Genomic DNA, 23,650 nt, shown 5'->3' with positions numbered 1-23,650 from the left:
ACATACCTTGAGTTTCTTTTTGTATCTAGCACATCTTGTCATCTCATTTGATAATATGGTCCAGTCATGAAAAGTTTGGTTGAGTTCATAATAAATCCCATAGTTCTTTATACTTGATATTTAGCCCGTAAAATTCCATTAAATAATTTTTAGTCATTGCTATTCCATTAACACTATAAGAATATCCAGATTCACTCAGTTATCTGCCATTAAATCAGTATGCAAATGGATCATACTTAGAATTTTTTATTAGATCATATGCTTTTATTGCTATAAAACAAAGTGAGCAATTACATTTATTTCATTATTTGCTTTTATTTCTAATCCTTATTGCCAGTTGAATCTATTGTGACTAACCTGACCGTTACTAAACAGGAAAAAAATTGAAGTTATAAGTTGGTCCTGGTAGGAAGATTCCATTTTCAAATCTATAGCAAAGATTAAATTAAAAAAAAAAAAAAGAAAACACAGTTAAGAACTTTTTAAAATACTAGTTCAGACTTCAGAAAAATGAAAGAAAATGAAAACATGAATGTAATGTAATTTAAAAAGCAGAAGTTGATAGTTTTCTTTAAATTGCATTTTATAATGTTGAATTTTATTGAATTTTTCCTCAGTGACTTTTTTATCATCCCCTGTTTAGTTTAAGTGAAATAGCAAGCATGGTGCATTCTGTTTGCTGAACGGAGTCATGTTTATATAATGCAAGCTGAATATTCTGGGGAAAAATTTCATTTCCTGCGCCCTATAAACTAATCTAAACAGAACTAAATAATAGTTGGTATGCAATCATTTACTATCCCTACTCATTAAAATACCTGAAAGACTTATTCATGTCATGGAGATAGTCTTTCCCCCATCAATATCCTGTGAGGCCTCAGAAAAGCTAGGGGGAATTTCACCGGATATTAGCATGGTAACATTTGGTGGCTACACAGGCGGAACACCAGGAAATGAAATTTCCTCCATTTAGAGTTGGGAAATGAATAGAAAGAATGGGGTTCGCAATCTTAGTATATTTTAATTGCTTCTTGTTCTCACACATTTTCTTTTAAAACACCCTTCTTAATCGCTTCCTTTTCTCATCTCTAAGGTAAACCATGCTTTACCTGTTTTTTCTTTAACCCAGGCTTCTATTGCTCTTCATTCTTCACAGGAGCTCTATTTGTCACTTTTCCACTCTCTTAGTCAAAATCCACATTTAGAGTGTGACTTAAGACTTTTGTACATGTAAATGTGCCATCCCCTTATCTTTTCTCTAACATAGCAATCTGGTTGTCTAACACAATGTATAATAGTTATGGGCGTATATTTTTTTTAAATATTGGCTCTGCCACTCACTAGCTTTGTGATCATGATTGACCCCAAGCCTCTACCAGGATGGTTGTTAGGACTATGTGGAAAATTTTTATCACTCACTTAACATAACTTTTAGAACACAATTAATAGCTGCCATTAATATTTCTACTGGGTTATTCTTCCTTAAGATTCACTCCAACATGCCTTAAATAGAGTTTAGGATTTTTAAAATAAAATTTGTTTATCTCTCCAAAACTTTTATTTCATTCGATGTCTAGACCATACACCTGTGTTACTTTCCTAGGGGTGCTTGATAACAAAGTACCACAAACTGGGTGGCTTATGACAACAGAAATGAGTGTCTGAGTCTCTGTATCTATTCCCCTCTTCCCTCCTTATAAGGACACCAGTCATATTGGATTAAGGGCCCATCATATTCCAGTATGACCTCATCTTAACTAATTAGGTCATCTTCAATGACCTTATTTACAAATAATGTCACATTCTGAAGTACAGAGGATTAGGAATTCAGTATATCTTTTAGCAGGGCACAATTTAACCCAAAGTACCCAGTAGATATTTCTTCCTCCATTCATTTCTGAGACTCTGAAATTATCTTTAAAAATTTTTAGGCCTGGCGCAGTGGCTCATGCCTGTAATCCCAGCACTTTGGGAGGCCGAGGTGGGTGGATCACTTGAGGTCAGCAGTTTGAGACCAGCCTGACCAACGTGGTGAAACCTTGTCTCTACTAAAAATACAAAATTAGCTTGGCGTGATGGCACATGCCTGTAATCCCAGCTACTCGGGAGGTTGAGGTGGGAGAATCACTTGAACCCAGGAGGCGAAGGTTGCGGTGAGCCAAGATTGTGCCATTGCACTCCAGCCTGGGCAACAAGAGCAAAACTCCATCTCAAAAAAAAAAAATTAAATACTTTATCCCACCCAAACTTCATCAAACCCTTCGTATTTTCTACCTAGTGTCTCGTGGCTTTACCTCTGTTCTCATAACTACTGTTTCTCCTAACTCCAGTATAACATTTTCCACTAGTGGCCTTTGGTCTCATTTATTTCTGATTTATCTTTAATTAGGTAGTTACGTTAATATTCCTGAAAGCTTCTTATACATTCTTTTATTTATTACCTTTTTTCATTTATTCAGCAAGCATTTCATGTATCAGGCACTTTAATACACTCATGATATAGAGAGAAATTAAATATTTTTCATTCTCAAGAAATGTACAGCCCAGTAGAGTTTACATGCAAACAAACCAATAAGTGTAATAGAATGTTGCAGGTATTTGCCAGGTGTACGGATAAGGTGAGATGAGAGCAAGAGAAGAGAATGACCAAATTCCATGTGGGCATGTCGTTAAAACTTTCCTAGTGGAAGAGGTATCACATGTACCAAGTATTCTCATCACCTCCTTTTTTTGATAAATTAAACCATCCCCTCCTGAAGCTATGTATATGACATGTTTTCCTCCCTCTCTATTCCTGTTTTAGGTGGTTCCCTGCCTCTTTCCCAGGCAGAGTTTTCCTTACCCCCACCACCTCAAATACCTTCTATTTTTTCAAGGCCTGCTTAAGAACCCACTTCTACTCACCCTTTCTCAGATAATTTCAGCTTATAGTGATACCATCTTTTCAGATTTCTTATTTGTAATTCTCAAACCTCGTATCTTATATAAACTATTTGCTACCTCAACTAATTGTGGTCATTGAAGAAACAACTGGATAGAAGATACTTTACATTTTGAATGTTCTTAGTAAATATTTGTTAAAAGAGTGACTTTATAAACTTTCCTCTAAGCTCCTCTGGAGTAGCTTGTGTATCTTTAACTTTTGTATCTTTCTTCCATGGTATATAGTCAGGCATACAGTAAGTAGACTCAATAAATACTTAAGTAATCTATGAAAATGAGTATAAGTGGATGTGCTAAGTATAAGTAAAATAAACTTTTAGTATGGGTATTTAATATCTTACTTCACAGTGTTTTCTAAATTACAAAAGTCAGCTTCTTTCAAACTAGACATTATACTATTTTTTTGACTTCCTAAAATGTCAAAACACAATAATCCAGAATTCTGTATCTACAATTGAAGAAAGACTGTGGAATTGGACCTAGAAAAATGCTTTTTTTTTTTTTTTTTTTTTTTGAGACGGAGTCTCACTCTGTCACCCAGGCTGGAGTGCAGTGGTGCAATTTCGGCTCACTGCAAGCTCTGCCTCCCAGGTTCATGCCATTCTCCTGAAAAATGCTTTTATAGTTTGTCCCAGTGTGGCTAGAGTGAGTTAGTCATCGGCAACAAATGGTTCCTGCCATGTTGCTGTGCACCACTGTCTTGGCTTCTGGACTGCTGGCCCGCACCACCGCAAGAGCCCCACCCCTCCTCCAAGGCACCTTCCCATGGACATACCAGTTGGTTTAGAAACAAGAGTGCTGTTGTTTTACCCTCAGTCAAAGGAAGAGATGGTAAAGAAATTAAAATCAGAGTCATGGTTGAGAGGGAGTACCTGGTCTCCTTCAGATCCATCCTGGCCAGTTGGTAGAGAGAAGGAATCTGTTGCCAATTACCAGGAAGGAGCCAGGAGTAACAATATTATACACCTTGGAAATGAATTTTTGGAAAAAACTGCTTTGGATTTTAATTTTCTCACTTGAAAAAAAAGCAACCCCCAAAACAATAAATTAAAGAAAGGAAATAAGGAAGTTAAAGAACTCAAATCCCAGATTTCTTTTGACTTCTCTGACCTCCAGCCTAGATGATATGCCCTTCCTACATGTTCCCACAACAACCAAGATTTGCCTATAATTTTGTATTTAAAGAATTATGTTCTAATAATCTGTTACTGCACTGGTTCTCTCAGTAGTCTGTAAACTCCGTAAAGGTAGAGAGGAATTCATTACTTTAACTGTATTCCCAGTGCTTGGCAAAATAACAGATAAATATTTGTTGAATAAATAAACAATATTATCAAAATGCATACATTATGTTATTTTGATGTTTGCTTCAAGAATAAGTGTATTTATTTTATGATTTAAACACATTCTTAATGCCAAAGGTGTTGGAAGACTAAAACATACAGGGAGGACTGAAACTCACACAGAGGATCTCTAAACTGTGGCCTTAGCCATTATTATGGCTGGTATATTCTGAGGGATCATTGAATGATTTGCATTTATGGGTTTCCACTTTCTCTCTGCTATGTATCCAGACTGTCTTGGTGTCTAAGGGTTTAAAATATGTTTCATTATCAAATAGGACACCAAAGGAGAATCAATAGATGATATACTCATAAGTGAATGTAATGTTATTCTGTATTCTGTTCACCCTTACTAATTTGAAGTTTGCTTTTATAAACAGAATTTTATATTTCCATAATGATTGAAGATTGTTTTTGTTTTGGATTCTAGGAAATCCTCAGGTTGATGTTCCCCAGACTTAGTTGTAGTTAATGAAAATAAACAGCATTAGACAAAACCTCTCAAAACACAGAGGAAGATTTCCAAGATAAGGACCAATAATTCAAAAGGCCCCAGGATACATATAGGTTAGAGAAATGAAAAAATAGAATGAGTTTATGAAGTTTCAGTGTGTATGTAATTTTTCCAGAATGCACTAGTGAAATACACATATGAGCAAAATCATTCTACAAAAAATTCATTATCTTTTGCAGCTTCTGTATATTTTGGTTGTTTTTGGCAAGGAAGTTGAACTCCAAATGTCTCATTCTCTGATCCAAAGTTTTCTTTTGTACTAAACAAGTATTTAATAAAATTGTTATTATATTTGCTAGATAAATAACTATCGATTAAATGGATTAACTAATGCCTCTATTCCTTTTTCCAGATTGACAAATTTAGGATGAGCTTTCAAACACACTTTAAAGCAAACTTCTTTATGACATCTTTAAATATTTCTTATCTGCAAAAGTAAAGGCTCATGTTTTATCTTTTTCTATATGTTAACAAGTAGAAAAACTGAGGCACACTTTTCATTTATTAATTTAGTAATAACCAGTTGACTAGTAAACAACTTAGTTAATCTTTTGTCCAAACTAAATTTTATACTCCTTAGTTTAGGAAATGTTATATATTTTTCTCCTCTGATCTCAGCATGTGCTAATGACTGTATTAGCAAGAAATAAGTATTCTGTAGTTACTTGGAATTAAGCAAATTTTTGAAAGATTTTAGAAACTTTAAATCTTTCCACAGGTATTTAAAGAAAATGACAAGAGTATTGTTTTCCTTTATAGATATTTTATTCGTAGTCACCATGTTTAAATAAATTAAAATGTGAATTATACAATAATGATAAAATTCAGAATTTAAAAAACTGAATGAATAACATTAAGTAATAATCTAAAACTTTTGAAATTCTAATAAAGTTTGCCCATGTTTACTTGTTAAGGAAAATAGCAACTTCTCCTTAGAAGCACATGGATTTGTAGGTGAAAAATCTCCGATTCATTCTTTGTATTTTCCCTAATAGGATAAAGAAGTATCTTCAGGTTAATTCTGTTGTTTTCTAAAGAAACTTGTAAAACCTCCTTCTTGATGTAGTAAAGTTACATGGAAAGAAGATGATTGTCTCATCCTCCTTCCTCTACCCCTCTCCCTCCTTCCTCTCTTCATCCTCCTTGTCTGTTTGCTTTTCTTGTCTTTTGTTCTCCCTACAAGTAGAGAAATTACCCAATGAAGAGCTTTGCTGTGCATCTAAAAAGTTATTGATATAACTTTCCAATAAAGGCAACAACTCTTTTTCTCATACCAAGTATGACTATGGCATTTGGCTGGTTTTGAGATTCAGAGCATATTGAGTTTTGATCTTAAACATGCAATAAATAAATTGGCTTCCATGCAATTATGCACATTATAAGGGATAAACTAAATATGAAGATTAAGAGATGAATTTAGGTTCTGAAATAACAATTACAGTTTTTTTTTTAAAGATTCTATTACCTGTTCTGGAAGTGACTTGGAAAGGAATGCCAGAAAGAAGAGTAAAATCTAGTTTTAGTTTTGTTCTTCAGCAAAATCACTTACTTTTTTAATAGCTAGAAAATAGATGTAAATTAAATCTGTGTAAAGCAGAACAAAACTGAATACTAATTCAAGTCACTAGATATTTCCAAGAGGATAAAATTAGAAATTGGCCTTTGGGATGACAGCACTAGTCTCCTTTCACCCATGCCTCCAGAACTGAGCTCCAGAGGGAATAATGCAGAAAGAGGCATCCCTTTAAATTCCTATTAGAAATTTTCTTCAAAATATTTTAGAATCCTTGGTACTGAAATGAATGGGATCAAAGAGCCATTGAGAACTGTGGAATGTTTGGTGGATTGTAAAAGAAATTTCAACTTGCTCAAGGCAAGGGCAGAGAATAAAGAATGAATTGGAAGAAATAAGCTGACTACAATGTCTGGATTTTCTCTAGAGGCCCTAAATATTCTTCTGTATCAGGGAAAATTGAAAAAGGAGGCAAAATGCAGCTGCAAAGACATAATAAAATACAGAGTTAAATTGATTCTAAAATGTTTTATGTAAAATATTTAATTTTATACTCATTGAGTATACAATAATGAATATTCTCTTAAAATACAATAATAATTATTTTCAATTACAAAAATGAGTAAAAATATATGTTCTTTTTAGGATATAATGTCAGGAATAAATGATAATACATCATATTCCTATAATTCATGGTATTTTAAAGCTTTGTAGGTTTGGCCCACATTTAAATAAGCAGCTAAAATGGCGCTTCTCTAAAAATCAGGTAATAGCCCAGGGTTGAAGCATATCATTTTGTATTCAATATGGCCTAGATCTCTTACTTGGTATTCTTAACAATTGACTTTAGATATAAAAATCCCTTTTTATATACAAAAGAATATTATGAAATGACTTTACCATATAAAGCTTCTTAAGCAAACAACTAATATTCAATAAATTAATTCAACAAATACTTCTTGAGCATTTACTATGATCCTGACACTATTCTAGGATATCAGAATATATCAACAAAGGAAGCAAAATAAATTATATGTGTTCTCACAGAGCTATAATTCTATCATGGGGTGACAAACAATAAACATAATAAATTCAATATATAGTAGGCTTGAAAGTGGTAACTACTACATTAAAAGAAAAAAAAAAAAGAGTAAGAATTAGTGAATTGAGAGTGTTATGGTTGTATGTGTGTGTAGTCATGTGCAATTTTTTTGGTAAGGTGACCAGAGTAGGTAACATTTGAGCTAAGACCAGAAGGAGATGAAGGAAATCTGGAATGTGGATACTATATATTACTGAATATTTACTTCTCCTTTGAAAGAGAAACAGTTAAGCAGATTTTTGTCTCTCCTGTTGATCTCAAGCAATATTAGGCTAGGAGAGATTAAGTAGACATCATTCAGAACACTTACAAATGTTTCATGTATTTAGGTAGGCAGACACATTTGGCATAGCTCTGTACCAAACTTATTCACTGAGGATTAATATTTAAGATTAGAACTAAGGTTGGCTATAAAAATTACTGCTGAAATTTCTAGTGTATAGATTATAGAGTTGGCTCAATTCTCTTTGTGCTGTTTTGCAGCTATTTAGTAGTTTGAGGTATGTGGGAAAAAAAATCTATGTCAAATGCATTAGCAGACTGAAATCTGCTCTTCCAGACAGAACTGTAGATGAGCATTGCATGTGCAGTATGTGTAGTTTTAGTTTCACGTTTTGGCCACAGTCATTTAGATTTCCCAATGATACATGGAAAAAAACTTAAGTATACCTAATATGAGAGTTTTTCCTTTCTATTTTTTCCATTTTAAGTAAAGTAAAAACAGCAGTTTTACTAGTTAACTGAAAAACTTTGCTTATGAGATTGGAAAACATTTAATGGTTGCACTGAAGAAACCAACCACCTTCACAGACAGTTTATCAAATTTTTTAAATTCATATGCTCACTGAAATGCATTGAAATGAAGCTTTCTATGAGTCATCTCCTTTTCAATTTTTCAGATTTCAAGGAAAATTTTCAAAATTGTCATTATATTGCTTTAGAATATAAAACATGATTGTCCTTAGTGGAACAAAAATTTAACTCAGCTCAAATAATTATTGAATGCCTACTCTTGTTCAGTTGGTACAAGGAAAAAAGGAGCAGGGCACAGAAAAAGTAATAATTTGGATAACTATCCTAAAACCAGATTTAAGCTTGCGGGGCTCACTAGAAAGTAAAAGTCTTTGCAGTGGATTGAAGAACAGAAGATGTAAAACCCCATAGGCCTACCCCATACATACTTATCCTCCCACCATCCCATAGATCTTGAGGCTGAGATAGAAAAAAATTGTCAAAGTATGTAATAGATCCCCCTCAGGTATCCCTGGTGGCTTCATATGTATCTAACTTTTCAAATTTGGGAGTTGTTTAAGGAAAGCAAAATGAGGAATGTGGAATTTTTGGCATCTCCTCTGCATGGTCTAAAGAAGGAATTGAATGCTGTCCCTCTTCGTCTTTCCCTTCTAATGATAAACAGTGCCCTAGAGCAGAAGGAAGGGAAGGATTTCCTTGGTAGGTTCTCTGGAACCCCATCCAGGAGCCCACGCTCTGCTGTGCATTACTAAAGGCAGCATCTGTGGCATCCAGACTGACACGTGGGCGGCTTTATTACCTCCTCCTTTGTCCCACAAGGCATTCTCTCTCCACTTCATGAGGCCACCAGCTGACAGTGTCATGATTATAGTCCCTCAAGGACCTTTACAGTCAGAGAAACTTTAAGTAATGGTAGCCCAGATCTTCACAATCCCAAAAGGGACCTAAATCTGCTGGGTCAGGAAGGCTGAAGGGTTGCTGTAGCTTTCTGAAGGTTGTTCTAAAATATGAACTGTTGTGACTGACACAGTCTTCTTCCTTTCTGGTCACACAGAGGCCTGAATGTCAGGGACACACCTGGTAAGAACCACCAAGTGACCATTCCCTTTCATTCAAAAAAGGGTTCCTAAGAGCACATCCTCTCTGGAAAGATTAGGGAAGGAGGAAAGAGAGCTAAAAGTGCTTATCTTTTTAATAGGCATATCAATGAACTAGTTCCTTACTTTCCTCATTCACATCTGCATTCATCAATGCTACACATACGTTTATCAAAGACGGATTATATAACATTAAATGTGAAGGTTGCTGAGGTAAACACAGTTCTGGCTGTCGAGGAGCTCACAGTCTCACAGCTCACAGGGGAAAATGATCAGCACAAACCTGTGTCTGAATAAGAGATTTAAAATTTTTATAACACGTGTGTGCTGTGTATTATTTCTGCTTGAAAGAACTTTAGTTAATGGCTAGAGAATATCTAACATAATTTTAGGGACTTTTATTTCATATATTTTTCAAAGCCTGTAAGTAGACTCCAATAATTTAATATGCAAATACAGTCGTCTCTCTTGGCCAGTCCAAGGTTTCAATATGGCCGTTTCTATGCAGGCTTTTTTTTTTTCCCCCACAGGTGTAATTGTGTGAAAAAATGTGGATGCAGGGCATACCATATAGTTGGCAAGCTGCAATTGTGATAATTTAGTTTCTAATTGTTATAATAAGATGGTGGATTTGGTCTGCCATCTAGTGATTAAGAACTGAATTCTTACAACTAAATTTAAAAGCACTTAAGATTTATGAGAAGAGAAATCTATGAGGATATATGAGAAACAGAAAAATTGAGTTGATTTCAAATAAAATGTGATCAGATAAAATATATCTCTTTTCTGTAATATATCAGTGCCACAATTGTTGTGGGAATGACTTCACAATGGATTCAATTTATTGGAACATTTGGTGAGGGTAAAAGAATCTTGTAGGTTGGGAGATAAACATGAAAATTACAAAATAGTGATGGTATTATCAGATTTCTACCAGTCCTAATCAATTTTAGGAAAGTTAAACATAAACAGCAAAAAATACAAGTAATGCAAAATTATAGTTTTGGCGTTCTTTTTTAGATTATATAAAAATATTTATCTAATTTTTAAATTTAAATTTTATTTTTATTTTAAGTTCCAGGGTTTATGTGGAGGATGTGCAGGTTTGTTACATAGGTAAACGTGTGCCATTGTGGTTTGCTGCACCCATCAGCCCATCACCTAGGTATTAAGCCCAGCATGCATTAACTATTTTTTTCTAATTTTTACTAATGCTCTCCCTCCCGCAACCCCACCCTACTCCCTGACCGGCCCCAATATCCAGGTATTTTAAGAAACATTTTTTTTTTTTTTTTTTAAGTCCTGGGCCTTGAATCTAAGCTTTGGACGTCAGCTTGGGTTAATTTTATGATTTGGATAGAGAAATCAGGAGGACAGAATTGAATTTCTCAGAATGTCATTTGAAAATTTTTGTTATTTTATACTGTGTTGTCATTTATAAAATAATTCTATTATGACAACTTTACTGCAATATTTTTCAACAAATTGGCTGCAATTTTGCTTTCTATTTTACTTTTCTTTTCGTTTAAGTAAATGTCTGTGTAGAAAACAGAAGGGACAACTTAATCATATGGTGTACAACTACCATGTAGATCCGTGAAAACTGCAAGACACCCTGTATTTTCTACCCACTGTTTCTTTGTACATGTCTTTCATTCAGACATGGACAATGAGAGTTCACTGAGTTTTTGAGCCCTCTGTGATGTGTATGGATTCTTGTCTGAGTGAAGAGAAGACAAGGTTTAACAGTGAATGTGGTTTTTCGTCTCCTTGCTATTTAAAAGCATTCCAACTAACTTTCCACATCATCTTAAATTTAATTATAAATTCTCAGGAGAAGGGAAGCCATGATGACTCAGAGTATAAAACTAACCTTTAACATTATCATTTAAAGAAAGTAATCCAGTGGCCCACTTCTTTGCCCCTTGAGTTGAAGTTATGTTGTCTTAAACTTTCAGAAAGAAACTGCTCTTCTAGGTGTTAACACAAGACTGAGACAATGTGTCTTTTTATTCCAACCCTAAAGGAGCCACAAGGAAGAAGATAAGCTACTCCTTGAAGAGTTCCTCACATATTTTAATATTTAATTGACATCATTACGTGTCATCTTGTTTTTGTTTTTCATATTCTCTGCTTCCAAATATCTAATTATCCCATCAGCATATATATCCTTATATATAATATATATCCAATAATAACATATTTTGTTATAATAATTCATTTTATAAATCTTCAGGGGATAACTTATCCTGTTCTCTATGGCTCCTTCAAGATTTATACAATAAACAAACATATATTATATAATTAAAATTATATAATAAGTTAATTATATTCATCTATTATATAACAAATATAGCACTCCACAATGTTATATATATAAAACATACATATATTGTTATATGTGTAACATATATAATATATATAATACTCCACAATAATATATATTTTGAGGACAGAAAGGAACACATATGCTTCCTTCTTGTCTTTTCTTTTTGTGAGTCCAGGTCTCACTCTGTTGCTCAAGATGGAGTGCAGTAGCATAGCGTTCCCATAGCTCACTGCAGCCTAGAACTCCTGAGCTAAAATCATCCTCCTACCTCACCTTCGGAGTAGCTGGAGCTACAGGCACAAGCCACTGTGCCTGGCTAACTTTAAAATTTTTGCAGAGATAGTATCTCACTATATTGCCCAGGCTGGTCTTGAACTCTTGGCCTCAAGCAATCCTCCCACCTTGGCCTCCCAACATGCTGGGATTGTAGGTGTGAGCCACTACACCCAGCCACATATGCTTTCAATATTTTGCACAATTAGTACTAGGCACATATGCACTTAACTCCCAGCACCCCCACCCAAGAGTGTGTAATGAGAGAAACAAGCTAATTGAAGTAGTATCTCATTTTCAGGTAATAGCATTTAACATTTGTAAGTGGATATTTCCTTCTCAATCATAAAACTTAATGAGCAAAATTACCCTTAAGTTATCTACTTAATGGAATTGTTCAGTGAACTATAGACATAAGCCCATTTTTATACAGGTTGTGTCTTTGGAAATGTTATTCATGGAATTACACTGTGTTAAAGTGATATTTCATCTAAAAGTCACACTGTTTATTTGATGAATACATTTCTCATTTTTTCAAAATAATCTTCCAGAAAAGCATATTAAAACATAATTTCTATTTTCCCCTTGGTTTTAAATGACTATAATAGCACTATGGACATAGAGCTAATACTGTTTTGTTGATTAGATATGTATTATGTGATACAAGTCTTTTAATGAAGATAAAACAGATTAGAAACTTGTGTCCTCATCTTATAAAACAGCACACAAACCATTAGGATATAGTAGTGTTACTCTCTGAAAGCAATTTTCCGTTTGCCAAATATCTGTGATGAAAGACTAAATACATAAAGCAAAATATTCCACAGGACAGTGAGAAAAATGTTTTTATTCCAGCTTTATTAAGGTATAATTGACAAATAATAATTATATAAAGCAGATTTTTGTATTAATATCTGTATTGTAAACTAAAATAATTTTCATATGTAGCTTTGCATTATCATTTGAATATATTTATATGCCAAATGATAATATCTTTCATAAACTGATTACAACTACATTAAAACATCTTTTTATGAAGTACAAAGTTCATGCTGTGCAATTAAACTAGTTTACCGTAGTTTAGATTCATTCATTATATCCATCCAGTAGACAAATATTTATTAAATGGCTGTTCTATGAAAGGTATAGCATCAAGCTATACAATGAGGAGGCCGGGCACAGTGGTTCACGGCTGTAATCCCAGCACTTTGGGAGGCTGAGGTGGGTGGATCACTTGAGGTCAGGAGACCAGCCTGGCAAACACGGCGAAACCCCGTCTCCACTAAAACAAAAATTCGCTGGGCATGGTGGCAGGTGCCAGTAATCCCAGCTACTTGGGAGGCTGAGGCAGGAGAATTGCTTGAACCCAGGAAGCGGAGGTTGCAATGAGCTGAGATCGCACCATTGGACTCCTGCCTGGGCGACAAGAACAAAACTCCATTTTAAAAAAGAAAAAAAAAAAAGAAAAGAAATACAGTGATGAACAAGACGCCTAGTCCTTACTTTCATCTAGTTTTTCTCTAGTGAGGGAGATAAACTAAACAAAAATAAAAAATTAATACTCATTCTAATAAACTTCCTGAGGGCAGTGATTTTTGCCTATTTGTTCACATTTTAGTATCTCTTCAATTACCTAGCATATAATACACAATGAATGAATGAATAAATGAATGAATGGCTGAGTGAATGAGTTCTTTGAAAAGGTCTCTGAAAAATATCAGTTGGGTAAAGGAAGTCTAATTTTTGCAGGGTAGTCAGAAAAGAATTTCGCGGGGAGATGACATTGAAGTAAGTAATGATAGATAGCCATGTGGGCCTGGGATGAAGGAAGGAGAGGTAGTGCTGGGCAAAAGTGGTCAAGTTGTGCAAGAAATGGGAAAGAAGGTCTTTAGCCTTTATAAGGAAGTTTTGAATTTAAGTAGTTGGGAAGTTCTTGATGTATTTAAGCAAGGATGATTTGATCCACATTATGTTTTAAAATTCTGTAGTATTTCTTATAAAATCACAAAGTTAATGATGTAATATATGTGTTTACTTGTTAGTAAATGTATAATAGAACTGCTCTTGAGCAATATGTGTACACACACACACACATATATATGTGTGTGTATTTTCCCAAACTTTCTTAAATTGTAATGTAAATGTAGAAAAGCACTAGACAAATATATATTAACTCACTGTATTATTTTGGCTATGGTTTTCCTTAATTAATTTTGATGCAAACATAATTCACTCATTATCTGCATAAGTTTTGCATTTCTGCCACAGTTGAGTAAACACCATCAATTTAGTATATCAAATAGAATTCTACTCCATGAAATGGGACATGGTTATACTTTTTTACTGTACATTTAAAAATAATTTTAATAAAAACATACACCTTTTTCTTTTTTGAAGTTTTTTTCTATGGTACATGAAAACATACTGTCTCCTGTTGTGGAATTTACTAAAGTTTCCAGTGAGTTGCAAGTCATAATAGGGTTCACCAAACATTCAAATTTTATATTCTCCTTTGAGCTATTCATTTTCTCCCCATTTTCAGATGGTTCTCTTTTATCCCTCTTTATTGATATTCTCATGTTTCATCATTCATACCTTCAAGAATAAAATCTTGAAGGAAGCATTATCTGGTTAAAAAATATACCTCCATTGTATCACTTTTATTTCTTCCCCTATCATGCAAGGATACATTATCATTATTTCATGGTGAATTACATATTATTTTGTTATGAAATGAAATCAGTTCATCTGTGTTTGGCTCCTTGGAAGGTTACTTCTTAGTCCAGAATTTTTTAGAATCCACAAGATGGCTCACCTTTTATTTTCTCAATTCTATAATTTCAGATTACTAACCTCTTCTTTCTTTTCTTATTTTAGAAGGATATGGTGAAGAAATAGCCTGCACTCAGAATGGCCAGATGTACTTAAACAGGGACATTTGGAAACCTGCCCCTTGTCAGATCTGTGTCTGTGACAATGGAGCCATTCTCTGTGACAAGATAGAATGCCAGGATGTGCTGGACTGTGCCGACCCTGTAACGCCCCCTGGGGAATGCTGTCCTGTCTGTTCACAAACACCTGGAGGTGGCAATACCAATTTTGGTAAGAATGTTTAGGGCCAACTCATAATTGATCCAGTTACTCACCTTTATAGTTGCAGTGTTTTTCACTTTCAGCATTCAGCAACTCAAGAGAATAATTAAGCAGCTTTTTTGGTGGCTTTTGGGGTTAATGATTAATGATTTTGCTCACTCACTTCATCTAAAGTTAGATAGAAGCAGACAGTAATTTCCTGTCTTCTTAAATATCTGAAGCATTTGGGGCTGAATTTTGGTGGTTATGTCTAATCTGAGAATTTCTTGAATCACTTAAGATGATCATTTGTTACCATATGCATGATGAGTGCCTCCAAGTTATTTTTCAGTTTCCCTTTAAGTCCATTAATGCCTGAGAGAAGATCTAGAAAACACATTTATCTACAATGATGCCAACTTTGTCCTAGTGAATGGAATACTTATTCCTAATGTAATTCAGTGCCACAGCACCCTGTATTACATTGGCTCTTAAATGCAGAATGCTTTTCATGTTGGCTAGGTAAAGAATGAAATAGATTTCCAGGAGAAAAAATAATATAAAGTAAAACTTTTAAAACTTCTTTGAAGAAAAAGTTTCTGTGTTTAACAGATATTATGTATTTCAGTATGAGTACATATTTTAAAGATACATGTTAGGGAAACAAGTTTATATTTATAGGTTTCAATAAACAAGGTAAGAGCAATATTAAACCTTCAGGTTATTTGTGTTAGCAGTCATGAGACTTCTAATTCATCATTGTCAAGACAATATCAAGGCTTTATTTTTTTTTCAAAATTTCATTGCAAATAACAGCAAATACAATAAAGGTTTCAACAGTATGTATATGGAAATAGATAGCAACTTACCTTTTCTCTGCTTCTTGAACAGAAACAATGTGCCTTGGGTAAATACCTACACTCACTTTTCAGTAATGTAATAAGAAATATATAAAAGAAAGAATTAAAACCAAGACATATAAGAGCTACCCAAAGCAAATACAATCATCAAAACAGCCCAGGAATAAAGTAAAATTAAATCCGTGGGGATAAGTGAATAGCAAATGGGAACAATGGTGGCAAATATCAGAAAACACACCAAAATATACAGTCTCCTTCAAATAGTTGGTCTAGGAGCTGGCAATTGCATTATGCACAGATGCCATAAGATAAAAAGTGGTTGAGTTCAGCTAAATTTACGAGATAACACACCAGAAAATATATTGCTATAGACCATGTGAAAATTCTGACCTATCATTTTACCGTGAACCAAAAAAAAAAAAAAACTTAATAAAGTAATTCTCTTTAAGAAAGAAGGCTATAAAGCAGAAATAAGTAATGGTCAGAAAAGAAATAGAAGGAAAATCAAATCATCACAAAGAAATGAAGATGAAATATGAGGGATCATAAGGAGAGTTGATATCACACAAAATAAAGCAAGGGCCATGAGAATAGGAAAATAATGAATTACAATTTTTAAAGAGTTAAAAAATAATAGATGTAGAAGGCAAGCAAGGGATAACCCTGAAGATGGGCACCCAAAGAAAAAATTAATACAATTGAGTAGAACAAATAACAATATAATACAAGAAAAATTTTATGAAGTAAAACTTTAATGTCAATATTGAAATGGCAACCACATGTCTGAAAAATTGACCTAAAAGAGTTAACAGAGACATATGTAACTTAATGAAGTCATTAAACTTTAAAGATAAATAAATACTTCTTTAGAATGTCAAAGAATAAGAACAGATTATTTCTCAAGGGAAAAGTTGTTAAGACTGGTCACAAATTTCTCCACAGTATCCAGTGTCAGAAGACAGTGGAGCAATATATACATATTTCTTAAGGAGATAATATGGTTAATTAAAGTTAAATATAAATCCATTCTCTCCTTCAAATATAAAAGCTACAGTAAAAGCATTTCTGTGGGGTTATTGTTTCTATAAATTTCTCAGGGAAACTACCATCGGCTAAATGCAAGGCAACCAAGAGTTAATTGAAGAAACTGTCAAAGAACTTATGTGAGCATTTATTATATTTAAATCTAGAAAAAGACTAAAACAAAAGTGTAACTTAGGGTGACAGATGGGATTGTAAATATTATAGCTTCTGACAATGCAGAAATAATTATAAAACATATATAATGAAAGGGGGAGGCAAAAGAAAGTATGAACTAGAGTGAGTTTGGTAATTCCTCATCTTTAAAGGTGAAAGTCAGATAATATCATTCAAACCTGACAAATCACATGAACAAAGTAGTGGCACATTTAACACTACAAAAATAAATGCTAAAAAGAACATTTCCTTGTTAAAATGGAATGCTAGAAGAAAACCTGAGCGGCATGTAAGAAAAAAGAAACACTGTCAATTTTATCATTGCTCATTTTAGTGGAACTAATAGAAACTGTCTAAACAAATACAGATCTATGAGTAATGTAAAAGAATGTTAACATAATTTAGCAGAATATGGAATATAATTGATAGAACTAATATATAAATCTTTTTAAACATAAGAAGTTCTAACACACCAAACAAAGATACTTGAAAACACAGTGAAACATTTTATTTTTAAAATTTTAACAAAAAATCATAGTTCTATGCTTATATAAATAAAAAGAAAGAATAAAAGTATGTGCATTTAGCATCTTTCTCAAAAAGTTAAAAAGAATCAACAAAATAAACTGAAAGTAAGTGGAAGAAAAAAATTGTAAAGATAAAAACAGAAGTTGAAAAGTGAGAAAACTGAAATATAGTAGAAATAATATGTAAATCCAAAACATGGTCCCATAAAAACCCAACCAAAAGATCTAACCTAAAGCAAAAAATGATAAAGAAAAAATTACCTAATGAAAGTAAAACAACATGAAAGAATCATTAAGAGGTCCCTTTATTCAACTGTATCTTCATAAATTTGAAAACTAATATGAATAATTTTCTAAGACAATGTAATTTACTAAGACTAGCTCTGGTAGAAACAGAAAATCTTAGAACATGGATTTTCTTAGAAGAAACAGAGAAATTTGCAAAGCAGCTAGATTCCCAAAGCAGCAAGTCCAGGTGTTTTCACAGTTGTGTCAAACAACTAAAAGGTCTTAAAAAGAAATCAGATGGTTTTAATGCTTTTAAATCCTCTTCTTGAACATTGAAAGAGACAGCAAACTTTCAAAGTTTTACTATGAAGGAAGTATATTATTTACAGCAAAAGTAATAACAATGACACACACAAAAAACTATGAACTGATCTCATAAATTTTTTTTACAATTCTAAATAAAATATTAAGTCTATTAGCATATTAAGAGAGTAATTATTCATGAAAAAGTGGCGATTATTCCACAAGTGCAAAATAATTGACTATTAAGGAAGCTATTAATAAAAATAATTATCTTAACAGATCTATGAAGAGAAAGTATATGAATTCTTTCATAATTAAAGTAAAAGTATTTGACAATGATCAGTAAATACTTTTGATAAAGACAGTTACTAACTTGGTAATAAATGATACTAACATAATACAATATTTACATCTCAACTTAAAAGTTTCATTATGCTTAATACTAAAAGCATCCCTACTAAACACAAAGATAGACTGAGTATCCATTATCACCATTACCATTTAACAGTACTGAATGTGCCTGAATAAATAATTTGACATTAAAAAAAGAAATCAGAGGTTTCAAAACTCTAAAAAGAGGAGCAAAAACTATCCATTTGCAGAAAATACAATTGTATGCTTACAAACCTATTAAATTGAGTAAAAATAAAACTACAAAAAATAAAAGAATTTAGTAAGACATGAGAGTGCAAAATTAACAAGCAGAAATTAATAGGTTTACTATGTATAAACAATTACATCATAGAAGAAATAATAGGAATAAAAATTCCTCATTTGTAATAGCAACAGACACTTAAGGATAACTTAACACAAAATGTATGAGATCTGATGAAAATTTTTTAATACTGCTAATTCAAACTAAGTATTTAAAAGACTGAATGTCCTATTATGTTCTTGGTTAGAAAGACTAAACATTACACTCACATAAATTCTCCATAAGTTAATTAGTGATTTTAACATGATCTCAATATAAACATAGCACACTTTCTTTGAGAATTCAACATATTGCAAGTTAAAATTTTCATAGACTACACAAGAAAGAATAATCAGGCAAATCCTTAAGAATAAGAGCAATTAAGGATGACTAGCCCTACAAGATTTTAAAAAGGATTCATTAGTTTAAAAAATGTGATGTAGATACATGAATAAAATAAAATCTTGAAGTAGATCCAAATATACATGGTCAGATTGAATACAATAAAGATGGCATCGTAGCAGTGGAGAAAAGAAGAATTATTTCATAAACCTTGTTGGAATGGCTAGGCAATCATCTGGAAAAAAATGAAGTTGAATAATAAAAATATATTCTACACTAGCACAAATTATAAATAAAGCAGTGATTTAAATGAGAAAAATTAAATCATAATGATTTCAAAGATAACATAGGATAATTTCTTTATAGTCTTCTAAAATATATGACTTTATGAATTCTGACTCAAAGCCCAGAAGGCATAAAAATGTACAAAAATAATAAACATTTGTGTGACACAAAAAATGAGCAAAGTAGAAATGTTTGCAACTCAATTCACAAAGAATTAATATTCTTTACATATAAAGAAATACTAGATATAAATAATTAAAATATCAATAACCTAATAAAAATATAGGCAAGGGAAATTAGCTAATCATTCGAACAAGGAAATACAAATGATTTTTCAATATATGACAAAACTGTCAAATTTTCTCATAATAAAATATGTGAATGAAAACTATACTGAGCTATCATGTTTTACCTATCAGATTGGCCAAAATTAAAATGTTTGATAGCATACTGGGTATCACTGCATATTGCCTGTGGGGAAATGTGTCCATTATTTGTGGAGTGTAAAGTGGTATAATTTCTATGAAAGGATATTGGTAGTATCTATCAAGTTACCAATGCCTATACCTTTAACTCAAAAAGGATATTGGGGAATTTATCTTACAAATATACTTGCATGTAGCGTATACGTAACAATTACTCATTACAATATTATTTTTAATAGCCAGCATGACCTTCATTCTAGCTTGCCTAGGAAAACCCCAAATTACATCAATTTTCTTGGCATAATAAACAATAACTTTCACTTTCATTCTTAAAAGTGTCCTGGTTAGATGATAAAGTACATCCTAGTGATAACAAAAGATTAGAAACAATCCAAATGTCCCTAATGGGTAAAGGTCAAAATTAGTTAAATAGATTGTGTTAGATTAATACAGTGGAATCTTATAAAAAAATTAAGAAAAACAATAAAGAAACTATATACTGATGAGCAAAGATCTGTAAGATTTAATGAACTATGTGATATACAGACAAGTGAAGAACAGTATGGAAAAAGTAGAAAAATGAGTCTGTAATAATTTTCTTAAATATTCCAAACTAAACTTGAGAACAACATACGAGAAACCAATAATAGTGGCCTCCTGTGGGGGTGGGGGTAAAGTGGAAATAGGGAACACAGGACCAGATGGAATGACATTTTTTAGTGTATAATTGTATACTTTTAATACATTTTTGCTTTTGAACCATATGAATAAACAGCCTTGCTCATAAAATTATAAAAAGCAAAAATGGAGAATATTGATGAAAGATAATTCATTATAGCTTTAATAGCTAATTTAATAATTTAATGAACTTTAAATGTCATATAAATGTTGTGAAGAATATTAATATCATGTTAGAATTTTCCAAAAAGATGCATTTTTTGCCTTTTATGGAAGTATTGATCCAAAACCTTTTGAATTCTGCTTACTGCTGATAGTGTAATCACTATCACTGTAATTCTGACTCCAGAAGAAATCTATTATTGAAAGTAAATATTTAGCAGATTCTCAATAATTGTTTCCTCATAAAATAACACATTTACTCTTTTCTTTTTACAGGTAGAGGAAGAAAGGTAAGTGTTACTTTGCATATTTTCTTTTTCATAAGCAGACTTATATCCAATACTATCCACACAGAACTGTGCTCTGAAACGTTTGAAAGCTTTTGAAAAGTACAAAGTACCATACAAATACATTGTGACAAGTATATAAGCACAGTTCAGCTACTGTGTTTCCAAAGGACAGATGCCTCTTAACCATTCACTTTATGGTTAATTTCTGTTTGTATATCTGTTTCTGCCAGAAAGTTGTGACATCTTTAGGGATTGAAAATGTCTGATTAACCTTTTATTCTTTGCATTTGTCATTGCATAGTACATACTTTGCACATATTAGAAGTACAATACACATTTGATGGAAGAAAGAAAAGATAGGAGGAAGGGAAGGAGGAAGGAAGAAAGTGAGGGAGGAAGGAAGGAAGGAACGAAGAATGTCAATTTGACTTCAATGGGCCTGTAGCCCCTCTCTCATTGGTTGGGAAGTAAAGATCCAGAATTAATTGAACATTTTACCAAACAGACATTTCTTCCCCTCCTCTCCCCTCCTTCACCTTCAGAGAGCTTAAAATCTAATTCTGGACACAAGCTTTACACTTGAAAACAGGGTAGGCTGCATCCATGACCCGAGTATAGCTGGTCAGCTTGGTCACTTGCCATCAATAAGGTAATCCTACGAAGCGAAGATAGTTCTTTTTGCCCAAGAGTGCTCTCTGTTTTTTGGTTATCTTGAAAATTATGGCATTTACTTCAGTTGTATCCAAATGAGATGGGCACAGGGATCAAGGCAGTAGAAACTGTTGCTGGTCCCAATTTCCATAAATTTTCTTTACTTTTGCACACAGTGGAACTTTAATAAAATGATTTATCAGATAACAGATAAAGCAATGCTACACATTCATGATAAGTAAGAGTGATGCTATCAAGGGGAGATCCTGGCCAGTTTTACACATTTTGATTCAGAGGGCAATATCATAAATTTGTCTCATTTGGAATAAATTAGATATGAATATATGTCAAAGGAGAAGGGCTGCAAATGCTATTTCACATTTAATTTATTGTGAAAACGAAAATAAATTGAAACTTAGCAGATTGGTATAGGCCTTGAACAAACTTGACAGATAGGTGAAAGATAGATGGATGGATGCATGGATGCATGGATAGACAGATAGAGAGACAGACCAATCTATGAAACAACAAAAAATCCTAACAATGAGTACTGCCATGAAATAATCATTTTAATTCAGTTAGCAGTTACCCGACTTAGAGAGATAACTGGTAGGCTGTGTCATTTGCTGCCTTTCTCCAAAAGTAGTGTGGGAGAGCTGGGTGAAGAATATACTCAAAGCAGCTGCCAATGTAGCAGACTGTGGTTATGTGCCACTATCTTCATGACTTGTTTTCATTTGTCATCAGGTATCATCAGAAACACAAGAGCAAAGCAATGTTATAAAAATGCAATTTGTTCTTCGTTTATATCCACTTTGATATTTACTTACAACTCATTGACCGATTGATTCATTCATTAATTCATGTTAACTCCAACATAATTACTGAACCTTTTTTATATGGCTATGAGGCAAATGGTATAGATGATGCAAATGTGAGAAAAACACTATAACTGCTTCCATGGTAATGACATTCTACAAAGCATGTCCACATGGTATTAAATGATAAGTAATTGTAATGCACATCTGGATCTGAGTACATGAACTTTATGTTTCTCAGTGGATATGAAAATTAAATTTAGTAAAACTTTAGACAGACCATTATTCCATACAAATTAACTTATTCAAAGCCTATATTAATACAAACAATAGAAACAAATATTTACATTTGTGGCTTATATCCAAAATAAGAAATCTATAGAATCATTAGGGAATTTATTATTAGAAACTTATAATTGAACACTTAACCCCTTTTAAATATTGTGCAGCAACAGAACAGTCATATATCAAAAAGCCTACAATTTAGGTAAGACAGGTATCAGAGAGTTCTATTCCCCTACATATAAAGCAAGTATAAAGTGCATTTTGCTTGTAGGTCTCTTAGGATGGAAATTTCACAACTATTCTTAGCAGGCTGTTCCATTTTTCTCATTCTGACTGAAACAATTTGTCCTCTCTTTTTATTTGTTCTTCTAGTCTTCCTCTAGAAGGAGCATTGTTTCAGCATCATAAAGTCCTTTGTTTATTGCACAAAAATTTATGTACCCTTTCTAAACAATTCAAATTCTTTCAGCATTTTGAAAAATATCTTTTATTATAGCTCTTACATGGTTAAATTTTATTATTTTTGTATTTTTTAAAATAGAAAGACTCTAGAAGTTAGTGGATGTGAACATGCAGAAATAAGCCTATTTTACTTTGAAGCCCATATATGTTGATTCTTTCTTGTCCTAGGCTTTGTGTAGGTTGGCTATTAGTCCCTAGTGTTTCAATCTTGAACTTACCCTATAGAACTGCCTCCTGCTTCTGGAGAGCCCTTTCCTTCTTTTGGATTCTCAATTTATTCCTTACTTCCAGAGTATTCGCTGCTTCAACATTAGAATCAGCAACTGTGACTGAGTTATTATTAGTTCCGCCCTTAAGTCCATCATTTCACTTCATGAAGTTTTGTCAGGATAGTATTGGAAGGATATAAGTAGATTGTATCTTTAGTAGTACAATTTGGTGATATGGGTTAAAAACTTAAAATGTCTTTAGTCCACAAATTTAACTTCTAAAAACATATCATAA

At 32.8% G+C, this 23,650-nt stretch overlaps 1 protein-coding gene across 4 annotated transcripts in view; it reads left to right on the top strand.

The window, feature by feature from the left end:
- The window catches only part of COL5A2 (collagen type V alpha 2 chain), a 409,214-nt gene that overhangs the window by 315,918 nt on the left and 69,646 nt on the right, over window positions 1–23,650 (top strand). For all 4 annotated transcript variants that reach the window (XM_047443252.1, XM_011510573.4, XM_047443251.1 and 1 more), the window contains 2 exons: window positions 14,745–14,969; window positions 20,917–20,930. In XM_047443252.1, coding sequence (XP_047299208.1) covers window positions 14,786–14,969; window positions 20,917–20,930 — 198 coding nt within the window. In that variant the 5' untranslated portion in view covers window positions 14,745–14,785. The remainder of the gene's footprint in view (window positions 1–14,744; window positions 14,970–20,916; window positions 20,931–23,650) is intronic.

This window comes from Homo sapiens, chromosome 2 (assembly GCF_000001405.40).
Source record: "Homo sapiens chromosome 2, GRCh38.p14 Primary Assembly".
Lineage (NCBI taxonomy): Eukaryota > Metazoa > Chordata > Mammalia > Primates > Hominidae > Homo > Homo sapiens.
Note: the sequence above shows the minus strand (reverse complement) of the source record. Positions and strands in the feature narration are given on the sequence as shown.